This window comes from Homo sapiens, chromosome 16 (assembly GCF_000001405.40).
Source record: "Homo sapiens chromosome 16, GRCh38.p14 Primary Assembly".
Taxonomy (NCBI): Eukaryota; Metazoa; Chordata; class Mammalia; order Primates; family Hominidae; genus Homo; species Homo sapiens.
Window position 1 is genome coordinate 24,945,199 of NC_000016.10, and position 20,806 is coordinate 24,966,004.

General features: G+C 42.1%; 1 protein-coding gene across 19 annotated transcripts in view; it reads right to left on the reverse strand.

Annotated features, from left to right (window-relative positions):
* ARHGAP17 (Rho GTPase activating protein 17) overlaps positions 1-20,806 on the reverse strand; it is a 95,981-nt gene that overhangs the window by 25,810 nt on the left and 49,365 nt on the right. For 9 of the 19 annotated variants that reach the window (XR_950809.3, XM_011545878.4, XM_047434316.1 and 6 more), the window contains exons 7-15: positions 18,999-19,110; positions 14,713-14,781; positions 14,473-14,554; positions 9,755-9,850; positions 9,405-9,532; positions 7,733-7,844; positions 7,091-7,172; positions 4,206-4,286; positions 2,284-2,397 (exon numbers count right to left, since the gene is read on the reverse strand). Coding sequence is in view for 18 of the 19 variants with exons in the window: in XM_011545878.4 (XP_011544180.1) it covers positions 2,284-2,397; positions 4,206-4,286; positions 7,091-7,172; positions 7,733-7,844; positions 9,405-9,532; positions 9,755-9,850; positions 14,473-14,554; positions 14,713-14,781; positions 18,999-19,110 (876 nt within the window). In the remaining variant the exon portion in view is untranslated. Of the gene's footprint in view, positions 1-2,283; positions 2,398-4,205; positions 4,287-7,090; positions 7,173-7,732; positions 7,845-9,404; positions 9,533-9,754; positions 9,851-14,472; positions 14,555-14,712; positions 14,782-18,998; positions 19,111-20,806 lie in introns of those variants that run through there. The other 10 variants (NM_018054.6, XM_047434318.1, NM_001006634.3 and 7 more) reach the window with 2 other exon arrangements.

The window sequence follows — 20,806 nt, forward strand, 5'->3', positions numbered from 1 at the left end:
TGTATTCCCAGCTACCGGAGAGGCTGGGGTTGGAGGATAGCCTGAGCCCAGGAGGTTGCGGCTGCAGTGAGCCATGATCACACCACTGCACTCCAGCCTGGAGAACAAAGCGAGAACTTGTCTCAAAAAAAAAAAGAAAGGAAGAAAGAAGAAGAAGAAGAAGAAAAAAGTAAGAGTTATTATCACTGCTATCAAGCTCCTGTTTCAGCTGAGAGTCAGAACACCACAAAAGCAAACCACCTGCAAAAGGCCTGACACTTTCTGGCCACCTACCAGGCTTCAGGTTCTTCACCTCGCTTAATTTTTACAACAACCCGTTATGAGGCCTACATGAGGACACTGGGTTCCCAAGCTCAATCCCAGGTCTGACTGCCTCAAACCTCTCCTCTCCTATCACTCTGACCTCTCTTCCCATCAGAGTATTTTCACCCACTTTCCGACCAAGTAAAATTTCTTGCTCCTTTCAAATTCCAGCTTAAAATTGAAGCTCTGCCTGTAAATGATCCTTCCCAGCCTTCCTCCCATGTGGAATCTGATCAGTCTGTGTGCCTTAAAACTCTGCTGGATTAGGGAGGAACTGTCCTCTCCATCCTTTCCCATTTTTCTTTTAGGAGAGTACTGGAAAGCTAATAAGGGTTAATAAGGACACAGGCTCTGTATCCAGAACCTGGGCACACCAGTTCCCTGCTGTGTGACCTTAAGCAAATTACTTTTTCTTTCTAAGAGTCAGCGTCCTCATCTGCAAAAACAAGGACAACAGTATAAATGTCAATGATTCAACCTCTATTTGCTATATATTTCTAATCAATTTCTCCTTTATGTCCTCTATTCAAAAGGTTACTTCTGATTACTAAATGAGATCATCACAATGCCATCCACAGAGTGACAATTTCCCAGAAGCTTTCCAGCGGATCCCCCGACCCCTCCTCTATTCAATCTACATTTTGCAATGCCAATAAAGTTATCTAAGTGCAACTTAAGACATTATTCTGCTTAGGAACCTTAATGAATGACTCCCCACCACCCAGAAAATAAGTCCCAGACACCTCAGTACAATGTGTGAGGCCCTTGAAGGCTCTGGCCTTCCCAGTCACAGCCTCATGTTCTCTGTCTTCAAGTTTCACGAAGCCACGTGACATGCCCATAAACGATGGAAACCAGGCCCTTTCAACAGTGTCTTGGCCCATCCAGGTCCTGGCTGTACGAAACTGTTAACTCATCAAGGTACAGCTCCAGTGCCATTCCCTAACCAGAGCTTTCCCTGACTTCTCAGCCTGAATTATGTTTCTTTACCTCTGCTGCCGTCATACTTGATAAAGGGGGCAGAATACGCTATCCCAAAATATGCTCCTTAGGCATAGGATTATTTTGAGTTAAAGACACTTGAAAACCATCACATGCAAGAAGAGGGCTCCGACCTTCCTTTTTCATCCTGAAAGCAGGAGATAAACTCCCATGTGAAGGATGCCCTCCTTATACCAGGAGGAAAGAAACATTCCTAACACCAGGGACGGGGAGGCAAGGCTGAGGGAAACCTCCATAAACAAACCTTGCTGAACGAATCCTTATCTTCCTAGTCACTTCTCCACAACTAACTGCCCTAGCCCATGCTCCTTTGTCTGGTCACGTTTTCACAATTTACTTTTTGTCCAACTTCATATATAAGCATTCAGTTCCACCTGCTTCTTTGGATCTTCCTTTTCCTATGGGAACTCCAATGTCAGACATGACACTGATGCTTCAAATTCATCATAATATACGTGAAATCCCATTCCCAGTAGTCCCAAGTTACTCTCCAAAGTGATGTGTTTTTTTATTAATGTGCTAAGTAGGCATGAATTAAATGGCTTCTCTGCTGGGCATTAAAATGTAAAAATCTGTATGCTTTCTCCTGTTAACCTGTCTTATGTCCATTTAGTTCTCAGGCCCAGCCAGACACCCTAAGAGGGTGGAAGTGCTACCCCTCCTACAATATCATATATACACACACATAAATATGTGTATTTTTCTTATCACTGTACTGTAGCCACTGAGCTATCTGACTGCCTAAGAGCAGGGGCATTTTGAGAACTGGGACAATGTCTCACACATCTTTGTGTCACCACCAGCTGGGACAGCACCCAGCTCACAGCTGTGTTCCAAGAATATAGGCTGAATGAGAAAACCAACTTCAGAATACCTTGAATTGATCTTAAACTAGAATGTGTAACCTGAGTTACATTTCTATGCATCCCATCAGGTGGGAAAGAAGAAATTCAAATGATACAGAGAAAGATGACTTACCCTTCATTTCTGGCCCATAACAAGTTAGGGCCTAACACAATCGCAATGTTGCTGGGAGTCATTTTATTCACATCGCTGGTCTGAGCAAGCTTTGCAAGGAACTTGATCAAATATCTAGGGGTCAAAAGAGAAGGGGAGGGTTTCTCCTCTGAAATAGCTGCTGGAATGTTCTCTTCCTGCCTGGGTGCACAATCCCAGTTTGCTCAGGTGCTAACTGCAGAGGGTTCCTAAATCAGAATCTGGCTCAGGTGAAGCATTTTATACATTTCTTGTGTTCTTTGCTTCAGATAATAGACTAATTAGGGCTTGGAAGAAGAAAATAGGTTAAGTCTAAATCTCAGTGATTTGAACCCCTATTGGCTGTATATTTCTAATCAATTTCTCCTTTATGTCCTATCTATTCTACCCCTATTATAAGTTATAATGTGTTAATAGTGAGCTCAATATTTTTAAATACAAAAACAGACACAGTTATATTGCTTACAGGAAACTGTATTTGAAAACACTTTATGGTGGAATTATAAAAATATCCAATTTATCATATATACCTACCTTATGTATAAGTACAGTCATATAAAGGCAAAAACGTAAGAACAACCTATCAATAGGGAGCTGCTTAAATAAATCACAGTATATCCATACAGTGGAGGACTATGCTACCATCATTACAAAATGTACTGAGAAGGAAAAATCTCCAAGATGTATTACGCAAATACCTTAAGCTGTCAAGCAAAAAAGGTAAGGGGGAGAATGACGTATACAATATACACTACCATTTGGTTTTTTAAAAAGGGGGTGTGAGAGGAAAAACACACAGGCAAGTATGTACACACGAATGTATCTGCTTACGTCTACATTAACTCTTGCTGAGAGGATATATAAGAAACTGTAAACACTGGATGCATCCCAGGAGAGGAACTGGGTGGCTGGGGTATGGGAACAGGAGAGAGATTTTTCATCGTATACCATTTGAATTTTGAACCATGGGAATGTGCTCCCTATTCAAAAATCAATTAGTAACAATTACAGAGTAAAATAAACAAAATAAAGAGCCAAACTCTCAACATACTAAGAAGTACTGAGCTCTCACCATATACACTGAATAGAGGAAGAGTATCTGTAATTCCAAGGTGGGTGAGTTAAATTAATCAAAGGGAATATTTAAAAGGCAGTATGTAGCTTAGCTTAGTAGGAGAGCCCAAGGCGGAATTTAAGGACAAGTAACATTCCAGGCATATCACCTGTAAACTATTCTGACTGGTCACTTAATGTCACTCAAAACCAAACAAGGAAAATTTTCTAGGGGCACTTTCTAGAAAATTTTCTTTGTTTGGTTTTGAGTGACTTTACCACCTGAGGCCACTTTTTCCTTTTCTCTATACTTGTTCAAAGTTACATATTAAGTCAAAAGGAAAACAGAAGTTACATTATGGAAGTTTTGTCCCATGGTAAATTTTCTTAAAACCACAGTTATTCCACAAAGCAATATATAATCTCCATTCTTTGAAATTTTATTTAGTAAGATGATTTATACTTTAAATTAAGTAGCATATATAAAAGACATTACAGAATGTACAATTATTGATTAATTTTGCCTTTTAACATACTGGATGATTTGGACTCCAAACCCAACATACAGTCACTCAAACTTTTCACAAGAAATTTATTGCTAATAGCTGTAGTGGGAAAATGATAAGCCAACTTACGTATTAATGTCAGGCATGATACTGATGCTTCAAATTCATCATAATATACATGAAATCCCATTCCCAGTAGCCCCAAGTTACTCTCCAAAGTGATGTGGTTTTTTTTGTTGTTGTTGTTGTTTTTTAATGTGCCAAGTATGCCTGAATTAAATGACTTCTCTGCTGGGCATTAAACTTATCTTCACTCCAGAGTCATTGTAGCTCAATCATACATACCTAAAGTTAACAAAATTTTGTGGTGGCAACTTCTGACATGTTCTCCACAAGTCTTGAAGTTTTTTGTCTTGATCCTGCACACTGAGAACAAAAACTTTTAAGTACAACAACTTATTAAGACACCAATTATCTTATTAATATGCTATGTTAAAAATGAGGCCTCCATTTTGACAGAGAAAGCACAGTTGGAAAACAGCCCATGCTATGGAAATAAACAGATTTAGAGTCAAATACCAATTAACTGTTTAACTCTGCGCAGTTGGTTAACCTTCAATCTCTGGATGTGCAAAACAGGGTAAGTGTTGATTCTGCTGAACGATTTTGAGGCGTCTGTGACAAAACCACCTCCACCAATGCTTGGCACAGAAGAGACAAGACACTACTGAAAATTCTGTCTAGAAAAAGTGTGTACTGACGTATGGCTTTACAGAACCCAAATTCTCCTACCCTCAAGCAGCCCAGCCACAGATCAGGGGGCTGAGCTCCCAGGCACCCAGACCTCTGGGTCTTTCCTCGCTTGCAATACTGCAAACTGGCTGCACATCAAGCAGCCCATTTCTGTTGTGAAGCAACTGTAAGAGCTCTTGCACTCCACAGGCGCAACGTACAAACTTGCAGAGACATAAAAAAGGGGCAGTGAGGAGCCTGTAGAGCACGGCCAACTCTGCCCACTAGGGACCAAGAGTGTTAAAGGGGCCTCTATAACACCACTTTGAACGTGAAATATCCTCCAGAACAGAACCATTCTGGAGAACATGGATAGGGATTAAACATAATTACACTTTAGAGGCCAGTCGATGTGTTACTGGGATGGAAGCCCACCCATATTGACAATTCTCAACTATAGAATCAATATACCAACAGATAGACGCCTTCTTTTACAAGTTTATTTCCTTGTAATAAACAAGGAAATCTTTTATTGGGTAGGAGGCTAGCCAATAAAAGAAATCCCACAACTCTCTTCTACCTAACACTGATGTTGGATTCTACTGAATTCTGTCCCATAAACATTAATACTGACAGCAGGCTGGGCCCCAGGCAGGGTTCCAAGGATACGTGATGACTAAGAACTTGTCTCTGAACTTAAAAACCTCACCATCTACCAGGGACAAAGTCTCATTCCACAATTACAGAGAAAAGCTCAAATGCGGCTGAGCGCGGTGGTTTATGCCAGTAATCCCAGCAGTTTGGGAGGCCGAGGCAGGCAGATTGCCTGAGGTCAGGAGTTTGAGACCAGTCTGGCCAACATGGTGAAACCTTGTCTCTACTAAAAATACAAAAAAATTAGCCAGGCATGGTGGTGTGCGCCTGTAATCCCAGCTACTCAGGAGGCTGAGGCAGGGGAATTGCTTGAACCAGGGAGGTGGAGGTTGCAGTGACCCTAGACTGTGCCACTGCACTCCAGCCTGGGCGACAGAGTGGGACTCCAACTCAAAAAAAAAAAAAAAAAAAAAAGAAAAAAGCTCAAATGCAAAACCTGGTTAAAGACACAAGCGATGGACTCACATCCACTGAAGTGTAACTGATCAGAAATAAGTGGCTCTTATTTGATCATGGCCTGCCTGCAGGGAACAGGGGCAGTGTCCGTAGACGGGGAAGAGGACAGAACAGAGGTGAGATTTGTTCCTCTTCCCTTAGTGGTGAGGAGTAGGCACTCTGGAGAGGAGGGGAGTCAGCGCCATGAGAAAAAAGACGAGGAGGTGGGCTGGCCAGCCAAGCAGAAGCCTCTAGGCTTTTTAAACAAAGCTGTCCTGCTTAAAATCATCTGTTCCTAGACAGACTGAAGCTGAGGGTGGAGGGAAAGGGACGAAGTAGAGGAATATAGCATTTGGGTCTGTCTGGTTTGAATTCTAGCTCTGCCAATTACTTGCTACTCTCCTGGCCCTGTTCCCTCCCAAGCCTCAGTTTCCTCTCTGTAAAATGTGGATCACAACATCATCTGCCTTTTATAACGTTAATTAAAGATTACAGGAGGTAATAGCTACAAAGATGAGCACAGTACTTAGCACAAGAAAATGCTCAGTAAATATTAATGTCATCATTATACAGCTGACAACACAAGGTCCACTTATATGCAAATTTTTCAATAAACATATAGGAAAATTCCTGGAGATCTCGGACAATCTGAAAAAACTCACAGATGAACTGCCACCCCTGAAACAGGAAGACCAACCCCTTCACTTTCTCTGCTTCTTCAACCTACTCGACATGAAGACAAGGATGAAGACCTTTAAGATGATCCACTTCCCCTTAATGAATAGTAAACAGATTGTCTCCTCCTTACAATTTTCTTAATAGTACTTTTTCTCTAGCTTATCTATTGTAAGAATACAGTATATAATACATACAACATACAAAATATGTGTTAATTGACTAGGTTATCAGTAAGGCTTCCAGTCAACAGTATGCTATTAGTTGTTTTGAGGGAGTTAAAAGTATACTTGAATTTGCAATTATGTAGGGTATCAATGCCCCTAATCCCCATGCTGTTTAAAGGCCAACTGTATTATCGCACAGGTGAGACTGCACACAGCTCAAAAGGCACACTGCCACGGGTCAGTATGACCCCTATCCCCAGTTACAGGGCTTTCTTCAACATAAAGGGGGCTGGAAATTTGCAAATCCATTAATGTGGGTACCACTCTATGTCTTCATCCACCTAAATAACACAAATTTAAACCAATGCCTACGTGGTGACTTTCCTACACTAATAATTATAATACTTGATATTTTTATTCTAAACATAAATAAGAGCTGAGACATGTATTATTTAACAAATACGCTATTTTAATCTTATGATCCCTGAGAATAAAATGATTTGCAAATAGGGCACAATATCACTTCATTCCCTTTAACATTTACAACTCTGTGTTCTTTAAACTTACCTTGCAACTTGTGTCCATTCTTCATACAGATTAAAAGTCATCAAAGGTTCAGGCAATTCCCGTAAATAGGATTTTAAAGCACCTGAAATCATTAACACTCTCTTTGAGTATGAAAAAGGGGTAAGGCTAGGAATCTTGGGACATATTATTTTGCAAATTGAAATGATCTCAATAACGATCTTCCAAGGTGTACATAACAAATCATAAGTTGGCAAGAGTTGTTAGAGACTAAAATGTTCATAAAACAAATTCAATCTCTGAAAAAAAAAAGTTTTAAGAGATCAATTACAAATAAAATTAGTTTTAAAGTCATCCCCTTAACAGACATAATTTCTCCAGGTAGAAAGGAATTTGGTGGGGGGAGACTGTGAAAGATGGGAAGAAAATACAAATATGTCTCCAAATATTTGCATTATAAGCTACTCTCTCTTTTAATCATCAAAATAGAAAAACAGAAAAGGAGTAAAGAAGACACAGTGTACATTACATTGTATATACACTAAGGAATTGTAGCAAGAGCCACTTCGGTTTTGTCACTTAAACCTGTAACTGAAATTGGATTTTAACTGACCATCTGTCTGAGACAGAACCTGCCCACCGCCTTGAGGGTGACTTGATTTGCAGACACTCTTTGGCGCTCACCTGCTACAGCATGGGGGTCTGAATAGAACTCATCCAGGTGAGAAGTAGAACAGTCCAAAGCAGCTTTCAGCTTCTTTAACTTGGAGGCCCCAGCCCCAATTCGGAAAAGGCCCTAAAGATAATGAAAAGCCATCAGCATCAAGTGCAGGTTGGGACACTCAGACTAAGTGGCAGTGTGTTCTGATGGGTATTTCCTGACTTCCGCTCACCTCCTGTCTATGAAAGCAGTGTTACTGCCTGCCCTGCAGGGCTGTCAGGAGGAATGATGAGGGCTGAGCACGCACCCAAGCACAGGGACAGGCAGGAAGAAAATTAATCTGGGCAGAGTTTCTTGACCTCAGCACTATGGACATTTTAGGCTGGATGATTTTTTGTTGGAGGTTGTCCTGTGCCCTGTAGGATGTTTAGCAGAATCCATGGTGATATGGTTTGGTTCTGTGTCCCCACCCAAATCTCATGTGGAAGTATGATCTCCAGTGTTGAAGGCAGGGCCTGGTGGGAGGTGACTGGATCATGGGGGTGGATTTCCCTTTTGCTGTTCTTGTGATAGTGAGTGAGATCTCACATGATCTGGTTGTTTGAAAGTGTGTAGCAACTCCCCCTTTGTGCGCATGCTCGCTCTTTCCCTCCTGTTCCACCACGTGAACACTGCCTGCTTCCCCTTCCGCCATGACTGTAAGTTTCCTGAGGCCTCTCCAGCCACGATTCCTGTACAGCCTGTGGAACTGTGAGTCAGGTAAAGCTCTTTTCGTCATAAATTACCCAGGCTCAGGTAGTTCTTTACAGCAGTGTGAGAATGGACGAATACACATGGCCTCTACTACTAGATGACAGTAACACCTCCTCTTCTCAGTTGTGATGATCCAAAATACCTCCAGACCTTGACAAATGTCTCCTGGGGAGCAAATCTGGCCCCAGACAAGAAGCACCAATGTAGGCTGTTAGAAGGGGAGTGGCTGGAAGCAAACACAAGGAGGGCTTCCGGGATGTTCTTTGATCTGAGCGCCGACTCCATGGGTGGGTTTAGTCATGCAAGCACATCAAGCTGTACACCTATGATATGTATGCTTTTCTGTATGTACGTTCTATTTCAATACAAAGCTTTAAAAAGGAAAAAAAAAAAGCCTTGCATTTTGATTCTAGCTCTGACCTGGAGTAAACTCCCTGCATGCTGACTTCCTTATTTATACAAGAAGAGTAATAAAAACTCCCTTATTTGGTTCATGGGGGGTTTGGGGTAAGAATCCTGTAAAATTAAGTATGTAAATGACCTCCAACCAAAAAAACTGCATAATACTATGCAAATGTAAACTAAAGCTCCTTAGCCCATTAGTGCGTCACGAAATCTATTGTCACAAATCACAACCAGAGTTTTAAATGAAACAATCAAACAGGACACAAAGAGGTCAGGGTGTACCACAATCAGGAAAGGTAAACATTGTTTTGTAAAACCTTTGTTTCATTCATAGACAGATAGGTATCATAGGGAACAGGGTTGCAATTTAAAATATGGATCATGGTGACAAAAGCTTGAAAGCCACTGTTCTACACAAAACGGACAATGGCTGTATAACTAAGCAGGGGTGGACAGGGGGCTGGCGGGGAGCATGGTGCTCTGGGTACAACAAGGGGCATGGAGACTTGGTGCACAGGATCACGAAGCTCCCCTCACCTCCTCCTTCATGCCTGTCTCCAGAAGCAGCATGACACAGGCTTCAATGGGCAGCGCAATCTCGCGCCCGCTCCTCTTCAGGTGTTCTTCTAGGGGAGTCCCAAAGGCTGGTTTTTCCGCCCACTTATCTAGAGCAGCAAATTGTTCAGTTAGACACCCAACAAACTCACGGCATTACCAAGCTATTTTCTCCCCAACTACCCAATGGGCTTTTCTAGCCGACTGGTAGGTGAGGCTGTGCAAGAGGGGATACATCTGTTCTATTTGCTTTTGTTATTTGCCATCTACTGGAGCAGCAAACTATGGACCAGGCTGGGGCGGTTACTTGTGGAACAGAAGCCTGAGCGTACCTAGATGGCACCAACTCAGGCTGCCCAGAAGCTGCAGTGGCACGCTGCACCTGCACCACACTTCATCAACACACGCCAGCGGGTTTAGTGGGCTGCCTTGAACCAAAAGGAAGATTTGCCAGAGCATACCGTTTCGTTGAAAAGAAATTTATTCTAGCCATGCAAAGCCTTCTAGCTAGAGGACAAGAAATAGATTCTTTGCTATGCAAAAATGGAAATGATCTCTGAAAATTTCAAACACAAGTTAAGTATCTGTCATACAAGACTGGAGATGGCCAACGTGAACTCTCCACGTTGCAGTTACTCTCCATCAGATGCGACATCTCCGCGGCATGCAGTGCTTCAGAACACCGCATCCCCAAACAGCTCCGAAAAATTCTGAGTGGAAAGAAATGCAGCATCTGCAGCCCTAAAGCAGCTGAAGGCTATGCTGATGGCAGGAAAGCCATATTTTAGATTATCTTCAGGTTATGAGGCAGCTTAGCACAAATACAATGAAGCAGTAAAATAGAAAGAAGAATTTAGAGAACGGACATATGAATTAGAATAAGAAGTATCTGGTTGAATTTGGCCTGCCTGTGCAAGCTGCAGAGATCTAGTGCTATCTGAGCAGCTCGCAGAAGCAAAGGAGGGCAAACCAGTTGTGAAAACTGCTCCAGGGAGAAACACTTAAATCTTTCCAACAACAGGAAGGGTTCATGTCCTTCTCTGCACCTTTACTGGCCATTGGTCCCTTAGCAGCTCTGCTGTTAGAAAGCTGGGTTGGAAGAAGGCAGTATGTACTCTGGTGTGTCCTCTTACACTCTCTCCCATGTCACAGCAGGGGTAGATTTGCACATGGGGAAGGAAGAAAAATAAAATCCCACAAATCCATAGAACCGAGAGCTTGTGGAAAGGTAAAAATGGATGGAAAGAGCAAGAGGTAAAGACTGAAGAAAGGGGTGAGGGAAAGGAAGGTGGGGGACAAAAATGAGGTGCAGGCCACCAGCCACTCTCAGAATTGTGGGGAGCCCTCCTCGTCTCTGGCCCGGCCCCAGCTGGGGAATTTCCAATAGAAAACGCATCTGGGGGTCTGGACCTTCCCAGAGGTCAAATCTTACCTGAAATACTTTGTCCCTTTTATCTAAAGCAATAAGTTACAACACAGGCTGAAAATGGCCACGTGAGCCTTCCACTAGGGGATGCCCTGGAATCACCCAGGGGGGTTCTGCAAATGACACCCGCCATTGCCTTCACCACAAGCCCAACCCTGTAATGCTAAGGGGCGGGCATGCTTCAAACCTCTGCTGGAACTTTCTAGTAAACACTGGACAGAGTGTACCCCACCCCCAAGCCTGGTATAATGTTGACAGAGGGTGCAAGTGAGAACCACTGACCTAGAAGCAAGTCATAAGGCAAATTCCACCTCAGGCACTGGCCTCTCAAACAACAGACCTACTATGTGTCAGGTACTGCAGGAGGCATGTAAAGTTAACAGAGACTCCCTACCCTCAGGAAGAGGGCAATTGAATTGTGAAGGGAATATAAGACACACATGTAAACACAGAACAGTCAATAACAAGACAAGACATATTTGCTAAGTCATGGCAGATCGATGGTATAGACAAGGGTTGCAAATGCAATTGTCCAGAGGAGTCGGATAGGTAGCACAGGGGCACAAATCCTGCTGGGAGTGCACGATCTGCCGACAGGCGATAACCACTCCTCTGCACCAAACCAACACTGCCACGTGGGAAAGCAAAGCCAGTGTTGCCAGATGTTCTCAACTTTCAGGAGAAGCCAGAAATCAGAATTGTTACATCAAACCATCTGGTTTTCACATGATGACAACCAACTTTTAACAATTTTTAATGAGATATGGCTGTTTGCGACTTCTGGTGTAGACCATAAATGCTGGCACAATTCAAGAGGCAAAGTGTTTGCCATTGGCTTCAGCTGTCGGAGAAGGCTTCTCAAAGGAAATGAGGTTGGAGGGGGTCTCATGAGACGGACAGAGATTAAACAGGCTGAAAAACGGACAAACACATCTTTGTGAGGGGCAATCAGCTGAGAAAAGATCAGGAATTGTGAGTCTGGGAATTTACATCTTATCCCAAGTTCACGCCAAGGCCGTGAGAGCATGGAGCAGAGTGGGCCAGGGGAAGAGAGGATGACAGAGCCTAGGGCGAAATGGACAGAACCCAGGCACTGGATGGAAGAGAGGAAGGAGAAAAGGGTTCCAAGGTTAAGACCTGAATCACTTGGAGAAAGGTGATATAAGGGAGACAAGAAGGGAGAAAAGGGACAGTTGGAGTGGGAAGAGGACTGGTTTGCTTTTTGAGTTTAAGGTGAGTGCTGTTCATCAAAGGGAACCGATGCTTAGGAGGCTGCAAGGATTAAAATGCAGGTAAGAGGCAAAGCTGTCCAAGTAAGGGGATTTCTAGGGAAAAGGGGGCGAGGAAGTGAGGGTGGGAGAGAACAGAGGTGCAAGGACTGGACCTCAGAAAAGGCTGACTTCTGGGGTGGAGACAGAAATGAGCAATATATAATCCTTCTTGAAGAAAAATTTTTAAAAAGAAATGGAGCAATGCAGAGTCCTTACAATGAAAGAAGACAGTCGAGTGGCGTGAGGAGACAAAAATGAATAAGGAAGGGACGGCCCATGCCGGGTCAAATGCCAGGATCTGACGGGTGGTTGCTGGTCCTTTGAAAACTGCAGTATGTTTTGCTCTTTTTTCCTAAACAGCAGAGGGATTGGGGGTAGACACAAGAGTGCAAAGGATTCAGGAGTAGGAAGGTGGTAAGAAAATGCAGGTGGCAGGCAGGAAGGGGTCATCTGAAGTACCCACCAGAAAAAATGAAGGAGAACCAGATTAAACAGGACGCTGTGTTCAGGTCAGGAAGGTACCAGATTACCACCAACTGACCATGAATGTGACACCAGAGTCCACGGAGGTGAGGGGGCTGTGGGGGCAGGTCACACTTTTTTTATATAGTAAGGACAAGATAAGTCTTTCTGAAAACAGAGAAGACAGCAAGGAAAGAAAAGACAGAACTAAGATGAAAGGCAGGTACAAGGACAGGCAGAGGTGGGAGGGGTTGAATTGCAACTCGGTAAAGGGTGACCTCAGCAAGAAGGACAAATCGCACTTCCTCCACGGGCTGTTCCATCCTAACCTCTTTCCTGTCCCATCCCCGCTCTCCATGGCTTCCTGATGTATTTCTCTAGGGAAAATACCCTTGGGAAAAAAACAGAATGAGAGTTCTAGTCTAGCCTGGGCAACAGAGTGAGACTTTGTCTCTTTAAAACAAACAAACAAACAAAATGCGAAAAAAAATCCAATCTCTCGTTTTTCCTCTTGTTAATCAACTCTTTCAAATCAGACTCTCAGCCATTCAAAGGCTAAAATGATGATTTGTCTACTATTTTGTCCTATGCGGGGCCCAGCCCACAGCAGATATCTCATAAATATATTTTCTTGGTCCTCTGAACTTGCCCAGCAAGAGTCTGTCCCTAGAAAGGTGGGAACATTTTCCAGAGACCTCGTTCCTTTGCACTGTGACTCAACACCATCCTCCATGAACTAATAATCTTGATTATTTGGGAAGGCAAGGGCAATGGCTGAGAAAATCAGAAACACTGCCCCTGAGAATGCTGAAGATCTGACTATATGGTCAGGCAAGACATAAAATTTTATAATTCCATAATCCCAAAATTTTCAGGCACAAAGCCAGAACCTGTGAGGATCTCCTGGAACTTAGGGGGAGAAGAAGTCGCATTCTTGAAGGTGCTGGTATGTATGCACATCCACAAAGCATCCCCCCCACAACACACACAGACACATGCTCGGTCTCAAAATCACAAAGTCATCCCACTCAGCACCTGGCCTGATCCCCTTTCAGCTCAAGACCAGTGGTTCTGCAGAGGAGCATAAGCTCCAAATGTCAGGTCTACACCACAGGTGAAATAGATCCAAAGACGGCCGAGCAATTTCTGACTCAACAGCTGTGCTCATCTCTGCTGGTAAATGCTCTAATGGTAAATCAGAGAGACACAGCATCGAAAGCTTTAGGGAGAGAAAAAAAAAAAAGCAGCTTTAGATGCCCAACTTAAAATTCAACATAAGGGGAAAGTTCAGTCTGCACCTAACTTGCAGATACAATCTGCAGTGTGCTTGAATATGATAGGAGAAATATTAATGGTGATAAGAACAAAAGCTTAGTATAAAGACAAAGGAGGAGTCTGAACGAAGCGACCACGGTCTTAGGATTCAATCACACTTATTATTAAGTGTGACGTGCATGATGTGGCATCAAGTACTGGCTTCTCTTTTGGAAAGTCCAAAATATTTTCCCTAGAATGGATGCTCTTGGAGTCACATGGCCAGAATTAAGTCCTGTGGAACAAATAACTGATGTGGAAAAGGATCATTCAATGCTGGACTTTTTCAAGCCTACAGAAGATGGGAAAACACACAGGTACTCCCCAAAGAGGCCAGCTTTCTCTTCAACTGAAGGTTTCAGAAGAACTACAAATGTTCCATTAGTGTGTTAATTTGGGTTTGGAAGAAATTAGAGAATGCAGCAAGGAAGATGAAATTATGCTGGGAAACAGTACCCTCCTAGGCAGAGAAGCTTTATCCCAAGGACGTGCATGCAGAGGAGTCAGGGTGAAGAAGAACCCAGGCAGAGGTGGCAGAGGCAAGAAGGAAGCATCAGCCGCACGCGGGTTACATTACCTTGATGGGCTCGCATTTCGGGGAGGGTCTTTTCTAAGACTGCTAATGCTTTTCTATGGTAATCTGCTTGGGCTTCTAATAACTGAGAACAGACCCACATTCAAAAACAAAAGTAACGTTAGCATCGGATGGACACACACACAATGGCTGAGCAAAACTAAAAATGAAATCTTTTGCAAAAAAGCTAAAATGACTCCATTTTAACAATGCTTTAACATTTTCTCAAGGGAAGGTGCTTACCGTAACAAAGAATTTGCCATACTCCCCTTCTTTGGCCATAAAGTTGTACATGTCTGCTGCAAGTTGATCCTGGGTAAATGGAAGATAAGAGGTTATTGAAGAAAAAAGAAGTGAAACAAAATGGCATCTGAGAACAATCTCTGTGAGCTCTTAGATGAAAAAGTGATGGAAAGCACCACAGATTAAATGTCCATCAACTGCCTGGTACAACCATACAGAAAGAATAAGGAGGCTTCTTACATGACTGACAAAGAAAGATCTCCAAGATATATTTTAACACATCTGTTTAAGAAGCAAAGTACAGAGCATTACTTATGGTGTATTAACATCTGGGTTAAAAAAGGGGTGGAATGGCCGGGCACGATGGCTCATGCCTGTAATCCCAGCACTTTGGGAGGCTGAGATGGGCAGATTACCTGAGGTCAGGAGTTTGAGACCAGCCTGGCCAACATGGTGAAACCCCGTCTCTACTAAAAATACAAAAATTAGCCAGGCGTGGGGGCGGGCAGCTGTAATCCTAGCTACTCGGGAGGCTGAGGCAGGAGAATTGCTTGAGCCTGGGAGGTGGTGGTTGCAGTGAGCTGAGATCGTGTGCCACTGCACTCCAGCCTGGCCGATAGAGTGAGACTCTGTCTAAAAAAAGGCTGGGTGTGGTGGCTCACTTTGGCAGGCCAAGGTGGGCGGATCACAACGTCAGGAGATTGAGACCATCCTGACTAACACAGTGAAACCCTGTCGCTACTAAAAATACAAAAAATTAGCCAGGTATGGTGGCGGGCACCTGTAGTCCCAGCTACTTGGGAGGCTGAGGCAGGAGAATGGTGTGAACCCGGGAGGCAGAGCTTGCAGTGAGCCAAGATTGTGCCACTGCACTCCAGCCTGGCAACAGTGCAAGACTCCGTCTCCAAAGAAAAAAAAAAAGGCAGGGGGTGGGTGGAAGGGTATGTCATATTTTTATTTTGTTTTTATTTATTTTTTTGAGATAGAGTCTCACTCTGTCACCCAAGCTGAAGTGCAGTGGCACAATCTTGGCTCACTGAAACCTCCACCTCCCGGGTTCAAGGAATTCTCCTGTCTCAGCCACCCTAGTAGCTGGGATTACAGGCGTGTGCCACCACACTTTTTGTATTTTTGGTAGAGACAAGGTTTTGCCACGTTGGCCAGGCTGGTCTCAAACTCCTGGCCTCAAGTGATCCACCCACCCCAGCCTCCCAAAGTGCTAGGATTACAGGCGTGAGCCACCACACTCAGCAATGTCATATTGTTATTGTCACATATGTATAAAAATATGTCTTGACAAAAAAACAAGAAATTAGTACAGTTATTACCTATTGGGAGCAATGGAAATTAGGCAGGAGGAGGATAATGGTAGAAGAAAGACTTCACGGTACACTGTTTTACACTTTTTCATATCTGACCTAATGTAAATGAATTACATATATAAAAATTAAATAATTTTGTGAACAGTGACAGGCTGAGTGTGGTGGCTCACACCTACAATCCCAGCACTTTGGGAGGCTGAGGTGGGAGGATTGCTTGGAGCCAGGAATTTGAGAACAGCCTGGACAACAGAGCAAGATCTAGTCTCTAAGTAAAAAAAAAAAAAAATTTTTTTTTTTTTTTTTTTTTTTTTTGAGATGGAGTCTTGCTTGCTCTGTAGCCCAGGCTGGAGTCTGGTGGCGCAATCTTGGCCCACCGCAACCTCCATCTCCGGGGTTCAAGCGATTCTCCTGCCTCAGCCTCCTGAGTAGCTGGGACTACAGGTGCATACCACCATACTCAGCTAATATTTTTCTGTTTTTTAGTAGAGATGGAGTTTCATCATGTTGGTCAGCCTGGTTTTGAACTCCTGACCTCAAGTGATCCTCCCATCTCAGCCTCACAAAGTGCTAGGATTACAGATGTGAGCCACTGCACCTGGCCAAAAAGAAATTTTAAGTGACAGATTAGGCAATTAGGTACGTATTTCCAATCTTCAAATATAAATATACATAGGAATTTTATATATATATATATATATGAAAACTTATATGCCGGAAAATATATATGTAGAGAGAGTTTGTTTTTTTTTTAATGTAATGACTTCTGTTTTTGGCATCAAGGTACACAAATTAATGTGAAGGGCCTCCCATTTATGACAAAAACTTGGAAATGCTAGTTAGAAGTAATGAACATCCTTTTATAATAACTGGGAAAGCAATAAAGTAAATTCCTTGATTCCCCTCAACCCCACCATACACACACACACACAAAGAGAGAAAGAAGAAAAAGAAGCAGAAAGAAAGAAAAAGTCGGAATGCTAAGCATCAATGGAAGCTGGAGATGACCTGGGGCAGATTTGTGCCAGTCTTGGTGACCAAGGTGTCTGAAGCCTTGGGGACTAGTAAGGAGAAACAAGTACACATATATCATGCATAAAGATAAGATTCCTGAAGAACTGTACTCTCAACGAAACAACAGATTAGAACAAATGCACTTAGCATCACATGGAAATCATGGGGAAGTATGTCTGTTTTGGAATGGGCTTTAGGTCTGAGAAACATTGGCCAAGAGATTTCACAAAACATAGGCCTGCTTTCAGGAGGGTTTAAAGTTTAAATTTACTGACATGTGGTCCCAGAAACCCCAAACTGATTTAAGTTTAATTAAAAATGGACCTGGACTGGTAATACTCTCTGGGAAGTCTCATTCCCAATCCCTGATAGTCCCACAGATAAAGCCCCTCTTAAAATGAGTTCAAATAATTACAAAACACATGAGGAAATAATCCACCACAAGCAGACACCTACCACTCTCACAGAGAATTTCAGAAAACAGAATTAACAGAGATTATTAAATAAGTATGTTTAAAATGACTTAAAAGAAAGAAACACTAGAAAAGAATAATGTAGTATCAAAAAGATTTGAATAACTAGAACTTCAGAAATGGAAAATATAGTCAATGAAATTAAAAACTCAGTGTTATTTGAGTAGCAGATCAAACATAGCTAAAGAGAGAATCAGTGAAACAGAACATAGATCTGAGGAAATTACCCACAAGGTATGCATAGAGAGAGAAGGAGGCAGAAAATATTTTCTTAAGTTTTTACCACTTGAAATACTGACAAGTGTGGAAGTTGAGAGAACAGACATCAGCCCATGATGACTTCCTAAACCTCTACCCAAATTTGTGTGCAATAAGTAGGCAATAGCCAGGATCTAGGTTAGACCAGATATTAAGAAGACTGCTGGGTAAATGACACTGACAAAGCTACAACTCTTCAGACCACAAATAAGCCAATGTGACATTATTTTAGTAGAAGCATTTATCTGAATATCATCTTTTAAACATAAAAACTTTTTAAAACAAAGGCATAACTTTGTGAGTTTAGTTTTAATTTCTACCCACTATATTATTTTTATATTTTTCTTATATTTCTACCCACTATATTATTTTAAACAAGTCATTTAATTGCAGTTAACTGATCAAGGTTTGCTATTTTGAAAAGCAAAGTATGTCATGACCTAAATGAACTAAAATATAACAGTCTTAATATTAGCAGGAAATAAAAAAACAATTTTTTTAAAACAATGAAAAATAAGAGCAGGAAAAGTCTAAGTCAATCCAGACTTAAGACTCTAGATTGTCAAGACTCCCCGAAGACCTATTCCTTTACCATTTCAAATAATTTCACCTCAAATAACATTCAGAATGAACATCTATCTACACAGGTGGATGCAGAGAGAATGAGATCACTTGACCATCTAATTAATCTGTAATTTATGAGATAAAAAGCTCTATTTCTCCCAAATTACAAACCAATTGTTCAAGCAACATTTTAAAAGTAATCCTTATCTTCTCCAAGGACATATGAGCCATTTACTGTATATTAAATTTTACATTATAGCATTCATTCCAGAAAACCTATACTATTTCACTGATCTATTTTAATGCTTCTTATACAGTTTTACTTCTTTTTTCTTACTTTTGTATTTCTTATGCATTTTTAATCGCTGTAATTTTATTATATGTTTTGCTATGGTTTTCTTTCCTTTTTTCTGACTTCATCTTTAAATAAGCTTAGACATCTTGTCAAGTTTTTAAAAATATCCTATTTGAAATTTAAAATGTTTTATTCTGATCATAAAATAATATAGTCTTAGAGAAGAAGAAAATAAAACCTACCTTTAAAATCATTCAAAATATTCTGATAGAAATTATTTAAAACATTAAGTAACTTACATTTGAACTTTCATCCCTCATTTGCAAAAACCGAAAAGATACATTTATCAAGGAATTCTCATACCTTGCACTGTTCTACTTTATTTCCAGCTTCATCCATCTCTTCCTTTAGAGTATCTATTTTTGATGGAAGCCCCTGAAAGTTGGTTCCTGAGGATTTGTGAGCTTGGTTCCACCTGCAAAACAAAGGGGTCACCAGCATCTGAGAACCAGCTGTGTATACTCAACAGCTGGAGGCAGGACCTGGTGGAGATAGATCCTTCCCCACAATTGATTCTACCTGGAAGGGGTATCATTGCCCAGGATGCCAAATTCTCTTGAGCTTATTCTCTAAGAATGGAAGCAGGCAAAAGGAGACTTTAGCTTCTCACCATGACAGGACTCTCATAGTGCTAGGAGTAGTGGTCTGCTTTGAGCATAACCAACCACATCTTGTCTCACACAAACTCTACTACTGGAGAGAAATCCATGGAACCCCTTTCTTGTGGTGGCCAACCATGGAATCCCTGCCACCGGAGGAGAGCAAGGTGCTCTCCTTGCTCTCTTGCTTTGAGCTGAAATGTTCCCTGTGCCACTGGGAATCAGCTCCTGCTTTTGAGAACTCCTTGTGGCTCTTTCCACTACCATACTACCATCTGTGACCTGGGATTACTTTCAGAAAGTAAAAGCCAGAACTTCAATAGTGTAGCTATGAGGCTGGGTGCGGTGGCTCACGCCTGTAATCCCAACACTTTGGGAGGCTAAGGTGGGAGGATCACTTGAGCTAGCAGTTTGAGACCAGCCTGGACAACACAACAAGACTCCATGTCTACAAACAACAATAACAATAATAATGTAGGTATCAATCAATAGCTATGAAAGCACTAAAAAGAAAAAAAAAGAAACTATAGTAATAATAGGGGAAAAGTGGGAAATAATCATAGAAAACAATTTGTTTTGATTTTCAAATGTGCTTTGACCTTCTGTTTGAAAATGGGTATGTCTGGTGTTGTGGAAAACTCTATCACTTTAAATGTAAACATAGATGTTATAAAATGCAGCAAGAAAACCCACGTTGGCCGGGTGCGTTGGCTCACGCCTGTAATCCCAGCACTTTGGGAAGCCGAGGTGGGCGGATCATGAGGTCAGGATATCGAGACCATCTTGGCTAACACGGTGAAACCCCATCTCTACTAAAAATACAAAACATTAGCTGGGCGTGGTGGCAGGCGCCTGTAGTCCCAGCAACTTGGGAGGCTGAGGCAGGAGAATGGCGTGAACCTGGGAGGCAGAGCTTGCAGTGAGCCCAGACCAAGATCGCAACGCCGCACTCCAGCCTGGGGACAGAGTGAGACCCTGTCTCAAACAAACAAACAAAAAAACCCAAAAAACATGTTAGCTACTTACTAAACTTTCTAGACTGCTGCAGTGCCCCAAAATGCTATGTTCTGCCCACTTTGTGTTCCTGACGTGACACACTCCTCCACCAAAAGGCTTCAGCAAGTCAGCCAAAGCTAAACTGGAGATGCTATATTGTGAAAGGAGCATAGATTTCAGAGTCTGACATGTTCAAGTTTGGAGCTCAGCTTTATCTTAACTAGTTATGTGACCTAGTTAGTGACTTAGCCTCTATGCATCTCAGTTGCCTCATCTACAAAACTATCACAAACACTGTCTGCCTTGTGGAACTGTCATAAGGAGGAAAAGCGAGAAAAATATGTGTGCATGTGCACAGCATATGATGTCTGGCATATAATGGATTCCTACTTATTACCATTTTTTTCTCCAGGGAAAAGCAAGAAGAATGAGAAAAAGTGGAAATATTCAATTGTTTCAGCTTCTCCAACACCTATTGTGATTAAGTGAACAAGACCATGAATGCAAGATCAAGAA